The following is an 11,585-nucleotide window of genomic DNA, read 5'->3' on the forward strand; positions in this document are numbered from 1 at the left end:
TTGGCCTCTAGCGAGGAAGTGATGCTTTCAAGAGCTTGCCAGCTGCAGTAGTAGAAGGGAGATATAATTTTGCCCTACTTTGGCCAGGATGAGTACTCAGGTTTCTTGGGTAATGGGCAGGGCCACAGAGCTCCCTAGAAATTACATCTTTTGATTTTGGCTACCAAGATGGGGAGAGAAAAACCATCAGGTGGGGGCAGGGTTAGGCAGGTCTGAGCTCAGATTCTCCCTGGGCGGGACTTGCTGTGGCCACTATGTAGTGGGGAAAGGGTGGCTCCCAGGCCAATTAAGTTATGTTCCCAGGGGGATTATGGCTGCCTCTGCTGCATCATACAGGTTGCCAGGGAAGTGGGGGAAAGCTGACAGTGACAGACCTCACCCAACTCCCCCACAGTCAGCAAGACCAGTCTCACTCCCACCATGCCTCCCTAACCGCACTGGAGTTATATCCAGTCAGCCAGCAAGCTGGGCTGAGATCTTGCCACAAGCTACAAGCCTTCCTGCTGAGAAAGCAAGCAGGGCTCTCAGGCCTTGCCTCCCCACCTGCCAACATGTTCAGCTGCATCTTCTGCGCTCATATATGCACTTCCCATTTGCCCCTCACCCCAGATGCTACTCAGGGAAGTTCACGCTTAGTCAAAATTATCACAAAATTCAGCTAGGAGGTTCCTTCACTCTGTAGCCCCTTCCCAATTCTGCTGGCTGCCTTCCCTTCCCCAAGGACCTCTGTGAGGTAACGCCAGGAATAGCTTCCATGGGCTCGAGCTAAGGACTGGGAGTACCTACGGGGCTCCTCCTGCTGCTTCTTCTACTTTTATATTTCACTTGGCTCCCTAAATCCATTTTGTCATGCACGTCCATGTGAAGAGTCCACCAAACAGGCTTTGTGTGAGCAACAAGGCTGTTTATTTCACCTGCGTGCAGGTGGGCTGAGTCTGAAAAAGGAGTCAGCAAAGGGTGGTGGGATTATCATTAGTTCTTATAGATTTGGGATAGGAGGTGGAGTTAGGAGCAATTTTTTGTAGGCAGGGGGTGGATCTTGTAGTACATTCTCAAGGGTGGGAAGAATATTACAAATTACCTTCTTAAGGGCAGGGAAGGATATTACAAAGTACCTTTTTAAGGGCGGGGGAAGATATTACAAAGCATCTTCTCAAAGGTGTGGAGGGTGTATCATACGAAGTACATTCACAAGGGTGGGGGAATATCGCAAAGTATATTATCGCAAGGGCGGGGAGGGTGTATTGTCACAAAGTCAATTTATCAGTTAGGGTGGGGCAGGAACAAATCACAATGGTGGAATGTCATCAGTTAAGGCAGGAACTGGCTATTTTCACTTCTTTTGTGGATCTTCACTTGCTTCAGGCCATCTAGATGTATACATGCAGGTCACAGGGGATATGATGGCTTAGCTTGGGCTCAGAGGCCTGACACATTTCCCCAGTGGGTATGTGTGTTCGGAAGCCAACTTTTCCCCCCTCACACTTTGGGAACTCACAGTTTTTTGCTGTCTCACAGCATTTGCAGTGACAAGCCACTTCTTACAAAGGGTCTGTGAATTCTTTCAGTTTTCCTGATATGTTCCTGTGGTGGTTCTTGGAGTAAAAGTTCACAGTGTGAGTCTCCAGACCCTGTTCTGTCCATCTAAGCGGGAGCTGCACATTAGTCCTGTCTCCTATCTGCCATCTTTTCCAGCATCTCCCCCACAAAAACAATTCTTATTGAAGTTACCAATGATTTTCTTGTTAGCAATCCATCTTATATGCCTAGCAGTATTGATATCAAGAACTCCTTCCTTCAAGAAAAGTTTATTTCATCAGCTTCTAGCACTCAGCTTTCTCCTGATTTTCTACTTACTGCTCCAACTAGTCCTTCTTAGACTCCTTTGCAGGCTCATCTATCTCTAACCCGTCAGTAAATGCTGCTGGTGTTCCTCAAGGTTCCATCCTATGCCCACACATAGAACAGTGCCTGACAATAGTAAATACTGAGTATTTGCAATTATCATCTAAACGCTCACTCTAAACTCTCTACCTAAGCAATCCCTTCCATTCCTTATTGCTCAAAACTTTAGTAACTGTTTCTACACAGATGATATATTTCTTGCCCGGATTTCCCCTCTGAGTTTCTGACCCATACATACTTGATGTCTCCTATCCTATCTCCAAAGCACCTGAAATCAGCATGTTTAAAATTAAACTCATGATCTCCCTGCCGAATACCAACAAACCTGCTCTTATGCAGTGTTTTTTGCGAATGGCGCCACCACTCATCCAGATTTATACATCAGAAACACATTTCCTAGATTCAGTTCATCACAAAGTATTGTTGATTTCCTAAATCTCATTTGACCACTTGTCTCCATTTCTATTCTCACTATCCTAGACTCAATTTTCCATTACCTCTCACATGAGGTAATGGGTACTACAAACATGGGTATTGCTGCACTGTTTGAGCCCCTTTCAACCTTTTCTCCATACTATAGCCAGAATCATCTTTCCTAATACATCATGTATCCTCCTACTTGAAATCTTTCAATACTTCTTAGGATAAAGTTCAAAACCCTTAACATGGCCTCCAAAGATCTGCATCATCTAGACCTACAGCCTCATCTCATACCCATGTTCTCCTCCTCTGCATTCCATGGCTGTTCAATTCCTGACTCACAATGTTCTTTGTCACCAAAAGATCTTTACCCATGCTGTTCCTTCTGAATGAAAGGCTTTACAGTCAGCCCTCTGTGTCTGTGTGATCACTTCCTTGGAGTCAACTAACTGCAGATCAAAAATATTTGGGGGAGGGGAGTGGCAAGATGGCTGACTAGAAGCAGCTAGTGTGTGCTGCTCTCACAGAAGGGAGACAGAGTGGCCAGTAAACACTAGCTCTTTAACTAAACAGTCCAAGAGGACATGTTGGGATTCATAAAGGAAGCAATGTAGTCAACATAAAACAGAAAAAAGACAGGACAGCTGCCCACCTGGGATTGGCACAGTGCCAAGTGAGGCTCCCCCCTGCAGGAAAATGGTGAATAAGAGCCCCAGGAAACCATGTTTCTGCCATGAACCTTTGCAATTTCAGGCTCTGGAGACCTCCCCTGACCCCCTTCCCCTGTGGCCTCCAGGCTGACACAGAAAGCGTGTGGAGTGTGCCACTCAGGCACAAATGGAGGGCCAAGGGTCTTGGAACCGTGAGCACTCCTGCACCAGCAGCTGTAGCTTTGCCAACAAAGGAGGCCAGGTTCTCACGCATACCCCCAGGAGAGAGGCTGCATCCACAGTACTGAGAAGCAGACGAACTACAGGCCTTGCCCCAACTACACCTCCCTAGGCAAAGCCCACTGGCCTGGGATCCCAATGCAGCCACCCCACCCCTGCCTGAGCTCTCAGGCTGGTAGCAGCTCTGCAATTCCCTGGAACAGAGCTCCCAGGAGTAAAAGACAGGCCTGCCATTTTTGCTGCTGCACAGCCCCCACCCCAACTGCTATCAGAATCAGGAGGGAGCAAAGAGGTTAGGGACTATCTTGAGCCTCCAGCACAGCATAGCATGCCTTGCAGAAAAAGAGGCCACACTATTTTCCACGCAGGTCCCTCCTCCTGTTACTCCTCCTTGGGCAGGGCCTTCAGACTTGCCCCCAACAAGCCCCCCTCCCTGCTCCCACACCCCAAGCACAGTCACCCCACCCCCACTGAGCTCTCAGCTGGTAGTAGCTCTGCACTTCCCTAGGATGGAGTTCCCAGTGGCAGCAGGCAGGCCCGCCATTTTTTGCCACTACTGCAGCCCCTGACCCTACTGCCCTCTGGCTTGGAATGGAAAGAAGAGCTTAAGGACTATCACAGGCCCCCAGCACAGCACAGCTCCTTTATAGAAAAGCAACCAGACTGTTTTCCACACAGGTCCCTGTCCATGTGCTACTCCTTACTACACAGGGCCTCCTGGACTGGGCCCCCAGCACAGCCACCCAGCCCCCGCCTGATCAGTCAGTGGCAGCTCTGTGTTTGCCTGGTGGGGAAATCCCAGAGACAACCCTCTGCCATTGCGGGGCTTCAGCGGTACGGCCCTAGCTGCCCTTGGGCTGCAGAACGAACAAAGAGCCTGGTTGCTTCACTGGTACCTCCAGCATGTCGCAGCCACCACAGGGAGAGGAACCAGTCTCTCTTCCCTATGAGCCCCCACCGCCTACTCTTCACCATGTAGGGCCTCTGGCTTTGGCCCCCAGAGCAGCTGCCCCACCCCCAGCTGAATATTCCCATTCGCAGTGGCTCTGCATTTCCCAGGGGCGGAGCTCCCACAGGCAACTGACAGCTCCTCTGCCACTGCCACTGCAATGGTACTGCCCTTGCTAACTACCCTCAGACTGGGGAAGAAAGAAAGACCCTGAGTGCCTTACTCTCACCTCCAGCATGCAGCAGCTGCCCTATGAAGAGGCTAGTCTGTCTTCCCTGTGAGCCCCCAATTCCCCTGCTCTTCACCAGGCAGGGCCCCCCCAGCTTGGGCCCACAACACACTGGGATGATTATTCTGATGGACAATGGCTATGTATATCCCTGGGGTGCAACCAAAAGAGACACATGAAAAGCCCTCTACCACTGACACTGCCAAGGTCCCCCTCTCTGCTACCCCCAAGACGGAAAGAGAACAAAAAGTCTGGCTTGCCCCAGGGCTGCAGTGCCAAGCCTGGGAGTACCAAGCTGAGGTCTGCAGCACTCAAGTGGGAGAGGAGCCCACACCCTCCTCTCCCACTTGAGAGGAGGCTCACTTGGAGCACTGAGAAGGTACATGACTGCAAATGGAAGGAAATACAAAGGAGCCACAGGGCTGAGCAAGAGCCTACCTACTGGCCAGTATGCTTAAACACATCACAGCCCAAACTTCAACACCAAAAATACTTTGCTAATATACCGCCTATGAAAACACAGACAAGAATTCAGCCACAAATAGACCAGGTGTGGTGGCTCACGCCTGTAATCCCAGCACTTTGGGAGACAGAGGCAGGCAGATCACTCAAGGTCAGGAGTTCAAGACCAGCCTGGCCACCATGGTGAAACCCTGTCTCTACTAAAAATGCAAAAATTAGCCAGGTGTGGTGGCACATGCCTGTAATCCCAGCTACTCGGGAGGCTGAGGCAGAAGAATCACTTGAACCTGGAAGATGGAGGTTGTGGTAAACTGAGATCATGCCACCACACTCCAGCCTAAGCAACAGAGCAAGACTCTATCTCAAAAAAAGAAAGAAAAAAGAATTCAACAGAGTTGGCTCTCTGAAAACATCCAGAAATGAAGGCAAGTGACTACAGTCAAGTTACACCATGATTAAAGGAACATTAGCGCCCACACAGATGAGAAACAGCCAGTGCAATAACTCTGGCAACTCTAAAAGCCAAAGAGTCTCCTTATTTACAAATGACCACACTAGCTCCCCAACACTGATTCTTAACCAGAAGGAAATGGCTGAAATGACAGACACAGAATTCAGAATCTAGATGGCAATTAAGATTATCGAGATTCAGGAGACAACTGAAACCCATTCCAAGGAATCTAAGGAATCCAGTAGAACAATTCAAAAGATAAAAATATGAAAATAGCCATTTTAAGAAAGAACCAGGCCAGGCGTGGTGGCTCGCACCTGTAATCCCAGCACTTTGGGAGGCCGAGGTGGATGGATTGCTTGAGGTCAGGAGTTCAAGACCAGCCTGGCCAACATGGTGAAACCCAGTCTCTACTAAAAATGCAAAAATTACCAGGCTTGGTGGTGCATGCCTGTAATCCCAGCTACTCGGGAGGTTGAGGCAGGAAAATTGCTTGAACCCAGGAGGCAGAGGTAGCAGTGAGCCGAGATCGCATCACTGCACTCCTAGGCAACAGAGTGAATGAGACTCAGTCTCAAAAAAATAAAATAAAAATAAAGAAAAGAAAGAACCAAACTGAGCTGATAGACCTGAAAACCTGCCTATAAGAATTTCATAACAATCAGAAGTATTAATAGCAGAACAGATCAAGCTGGGGAATGAATCTCAGAGCTCAAAGAACAGTTCTTCAAATTAACTCAGTCAGATAATAAAGAGAATTTTTTTAAATGAACAAAACCTCCAAGAAATATGGAATTATGTAAAGATGCCAAATCTATGACTCATTAGCATCCCTGAAAGAGAAGGGTAGGTCATATACAAAGGAAACTCCATCAGGCTAACAACAGAACTTTCAGCAGAAACACTACAAGCCAGAAGAGATTTGGGGCTTATATTCAGCATCCTTAAAGAAAAGAAATTCCAACCAAGAATTTCATATGCAGCCAAACTAAGCTTCATAAGTGAAGGAAAAATTAAATCCTTTTCAGACAAGCAAATGCTAAGGGCATTTGTTACCACCAGGTCTGCCTTACAAGAGGTCCATAAGACAGTACTAAATATGAAAATGAAAGACCATTACTGATCACCACAAAAACACACTCAAGTACACACTCTATTAACACTATAAAGCAAATATAATAATACAATCAAGTCTACATAACAATCAGCTAATAACATGATGACAGGATAAATTCCACACATAACAATATTAATCTTGAATGTAAACAGGTTAAATGCACCTCTTAAAAAGCACAGCATGGAAAACGGGATAAAGAAGCAAGACCCAACTGTATGCTGTCTTCAAGAGACCATCTCACATAGAAGGACACTCACATGCTCAAAGTTAAGGGATGGAAGAAATCTATCAAGCAAATGGAAAACAAAAAGGAGCAGGGGTTGCTATTCTTATTCCAGACAAAACCAACTTTAAACCAACAATGATCAAAAAGGACAAAGAAGGGCATCACATAATGATAAAAAGGTTCAATTCAACAAGACTTAACTATCCTAAATATATATATATGCAGTCAACATTGGAGCACCCAGATTCATAAAACAAGTTCATAGAGACTTACAAAGAGATGTAGATAACCATAAACTAATAGTAGGAGACTTCAACATCCCACTGAAAGTACTGGGCAGATCACTGAGGCAGAATACTAACAAAGATATTCAGGATCTAAACTTGGTACTTGACCAAATGAACCTAACAAACATCTACAGAACACTCCACTCAAAAACAACAGAATATACGTTCTTCTCATCTGCACAAGGAACATACTCTAAAACTGACTACACACTGGGCCATAAAGCAATTCTCAACAAATTCAAAAAACCAAAATCATACCAACCTCACTCTCATACCACAGCACAGTAAAAACAGAAATCAATACTGACAAGATCTCTCAAAACATACAATTAAATGGACATTAAACAATCTACTCCTGAATGACTTTTGGGTAAACAATGAAATTCAGGCAGAAATCAAGAAATTATCTGAAACTAATTAAAACAAAGATGCAACATATGAAAATCTCTGGGACACAGCTAAAGTAGTGTCAAAAGCAAAGTTCACAGCACTAAATGCCCACATACATCAAAAAGTTAGAAAGATCTCAAATTAACAACCTAACATCACACCTAGGGAACCTGAAAAACAAGAACAAACCAACTCCAAAGCTAGCGGAAGAACAGAACCAAAATCAGAGCTGAACTGAATGAAATAGATGAGAAAAACCATACAAAAGATTAACAAAACCAAAAGTTGGTTCTTTAAAAGAATAAATAAGATTGATAGACTGCTAGCTATACTAATTTTTTTAAAAAGGGACAAGATCCAAAGAAACACAATCAGAAATGACAAAGGGGACATTACCACCAACCCCATAGAAATTTTTTTTAATCCTCAGAGACCATTACAAACACCTCTATGCACATAAACTAGAAAACCTAGAAGAAATGGATAAATTCTTAAACATATTATCTCCCAAGATTGAACCAGGATGAAATTGACACCCCGAACAGACAAATAACAAACAGTGAGTAAATCAGTAATAAAAATCCTACCAGCTAGAAAAAGCCCTGGACAAGAAAGATTCACAGCTGAATTCTACGAGATGTAAAAAGAACTGGTACCAATTCTACTGAAACTATTCCAAAAAGTCAAGGAGGGACTCCTTCCTAACTCATTCTGTGAGGCAAACATCATTCTGACACCAAAACCTGGCACAGACATAATGAAAAAAAAGAAAACTTTAGGCCAGTATCTCTGATGAACATAGATGCAAAAATCCTCAACAAAATACCGGCAAAACAAATCCAGCAGCACATGAAAAAGCTAATCCACCATGATCAAGTATGCTTTATTCCTGGGATGCAAGGTTAATTCAACATAGGCAAATCAATAAATGTGATTATCACATGAACAGAACTAAAAACAAAAACTACATAATCTTCACAAGAGACAGAGAAAAGGCTTTAGGTAAAATTCAACATCTCTTCATCTTAAAAACCCTCAACAAACTAAGCATTAAAGGTACATACCTCAAAATAATAAAAGCCATCTAAACAAACCCATAACCAATATCATACTGAACAGGTAAAAGCTGGAAGCATTCCCTTTGAGAACTGCAACAAGACAAGGATGCCCACTCTCACCACTCCTATTCAACATAATATTATAAGTCCTAGCCAGAGCAATCAGGCAAGAGAAAGAAATAAAGTGCATTCAAATAGGAAGAGGGGAAGTAAAATGATCTCTCTTTACAGATGATGTAATGCTATACTAGAAAACCCTATCGTCTATGCCCAAAGGCTCCTAGATCTGATAAACATCTTCTGGAAAGTTTCAGGATACAAAATCAATGTACAAAAATCAGTAGTATTTATCTATACAAATAATATCCAAGCTGAAAGCCAAATAAAGAAGGCAATTCCATTCACAATAGCCACACAAATAAAATACTTAGCAATACAGCTAACCAGAGAGGTAAAGCAATTCTACAATGAGAATTATAACACACTGCTGAAAAAATCAGAAGCAACACAAACAAATGAAAAAAAAATATTCTATGCTCATGGATAGGAAGAATCAATATTGTTAAAATGGCCACAATGCCCAAAGCAATTTACAGATTCAATGCTATTCCTATCACACTACCAATGACATTTTTAACATAATTACAAAAAACCATTCTAAAATTCATTTGGAACCAAAAAAGAGCCAAAGAGTCATAGCAACAGCAATCCTAAGCAAAAAGAACAAAGCTGGAGGCATCACACTACTCAACTTCAAAATATACTAAAAGGCTACAGTAACTAAAACAGCATTGTACTGGCACAAAAACAGACACACAGACCAATGGAATAGGTTAGAGAATCCAGAAATAAAGCTGCACACCTAAAACTATCAAATCTTCAACAAAGTCGACAAAAACAAGCAATGGGGAAAGGACTTCCTATTCAATAAATGGTGCTGGGATAACTGGCTAGACATATGCAGAAAATTGAAACTGAACCCCTGCCTTTCACCATACACAAAAATCAACTCAGGACGCATTAAAGACTTAAATGTAAAACCTAAAGCTACAAAAACCCTAGAAGAAAACCTAAGAAATACCATTCTGGACATGGGCCCAGGTAAAAACTTGATGAAGATTCCAAAAGCAAATGCAAGAAAAACTGACAAGTGGAACATAATTAAAGAGTTTCTGCATAGCAAAAGAAACTATCAACAGAGTAAACAGACAACCTACAAAATGGGAGAATATATTTGCAAACTATGCATCCAACAAAGGTCTAACATCCAGAATCTATCAGGAACTCAAATGAACAAGCAAAAAATGACAACATTAAAAAATGGGCAAGGATGTGAACAGACATTTCTCAAAAGAAGACATACGTGCAGCCAACAAGCATACGAAAAAATGCTCACTATCACTAAACACTAAGGAAATGCAAATCAAAACCAACATGAGATACCATCTCACGCCACTCAGATTGGCTATTATTAAAAAAGCTAAAAAACAACAGATGCTGGTGGTTGTGGAGAAAAGAGAACGTTTATACACTGCTGGTGGAATATAAATTAGTTCAGCCACTGTGGAAAACAGTCTGGAGATTTCTCAAAGAACTTAAAATGGAACTACCATTTGATTCAGCAATCCCATTACTGCATATATTCCCAAAGGAATATAAATTATTCTACCATGAAGACTCATGCCCTCATTGCGGCACTGTTCACAACAGCAAAGACATGGAACCAACCTAGATCCCCATCAATAGTGGACTGGATAAAGAAAATGTGGTACATATGCACCATGGAATACAACACAGCTACAAAAAAAAATTAGATTATGAGATCATGACCTTTGCAGCAACATGAATGGAGCTGGAGGCCATTATCCTAAGTATCCTAATACCACATGCAAAAATGTGGCATTTGGTTTTCTGTTCCTGCATTAATTCATTTAGAATAAGTGGGAGCTAAACCCTGAGTATACATGGACACAAAAAAGGGAACAATACACACTGGGGCCTACTTGAAAGTGGAGGGTGGGAGGATGGAGAAGATTGAAAAACTACCTATCAGGTATTATGCTGATGACCTGGGTGACAAAATTATCTGTACACCAAACCCCTGTGACATGTAATTTACCCATATAACAAACCTACATATGTACCCCCTAAATCTAAAATAAAGTTGGAAAGGAAAAAAAAGAAAATATCCGGGGGGGGAACAATAAAAATAAGAACAATTAAAAATAATGCAAATAAAAAACAATATAACAGCTATTTTCATTGCATTAGATATTGTAAGTAATCTAGAGATGATGTAAAGTATATGGGAGGATATGCATAAGCTATATGCAAATACTACACCATTTTATGTAAGGGACTTGAGCATCCACAGATTTTGGTATTCTCAGAGGATCCTGGAACCAATCCCCAAAGATACTGAGGGCCAACTGTACTCTAACTTTAGTTCAACAATCCTTGCCTCAGAGAAGCCATTCCTGACCTTCTAGAATAGGTCAAATTCCCCTAATTATTTAATAGCAATAAGAGCTTCTCATTTTTATAATGCATATTTTGGTTGCAATTTTATATGTGTGTGATTAAGTCTGCTTGACCCCACCATACTGTATTACTCTGTGAGCTCCAGAAACTTCGAGTTCGGTTTTTTGTTGTTTTTTTGTCACCATTCTACCTCCTATTACTAGCAGTGTTACATATGTAGTATGAATAAATAAATATTTCGTGAATGAATGAACAATCTGAATACTTAAGAATTTTTCCTGGCCGGGCATGGTGGCTCACGCCTGTAATCCAGCACTTTCAGAGGCCAAGGCAGGAGGACCACTTGAGGCCAGGAGTTCAAGACCAGCCTGGGTGACACAGTGAGACCTTGTCTCTACAAAAAAATATAAAAAATTAGTCACGCAGGGTTAATACCTGTTGTCTCAGCCACTTGGGAGGCTAAGGCAGGAAAATCATTGGAGCCCAGGAGTTGGAGATGGCAGTGAGCTGTGATCATGCCACTGCACTCCAGCCGAGGCAACACAGCAAAACCCTATCTCAAAATAAATTAATTTAATTAAATAAATAAATAAGTGTCTTAAATGTATCTCCACATTTCCCTCACCCTGCCTACCACTTATTCAAATTTCCAGGGAGGGGGTCTCCTGATGTATGTTTCAAATTTATTTTTAAAAATATTCTGCAGGTAATACTGATACC

The 11,585-nt window shown here is 42.7% G+C and overlaps 1 protein-coding gene across 6 annotated transcripts in view; it reads right to left on the reverse strand.

Annotated features, from left to right (window-relative positions):
• The window catches only part of CBR4 (carbonyl reductase 4), a 115,770-nt gene that overhangs the window by 81,031 nt on the left and 23,154 nt on the right, over positions 1–11,585 (reverse strand). The window lies entirely within an intron of this gene.

Source organism: Homo sapiens, chromosome 4 (assembly GCF_000001405.40).
Source record: "Homo sapiens chromosome 4, GRCh38.p14 Primary Assembly".
NCBI classification, from domain to species: Eukaryota; Metazoa; Chordata; class Mammalia; order Primates; family Hominidae; genus Homo; species Homo sapiens.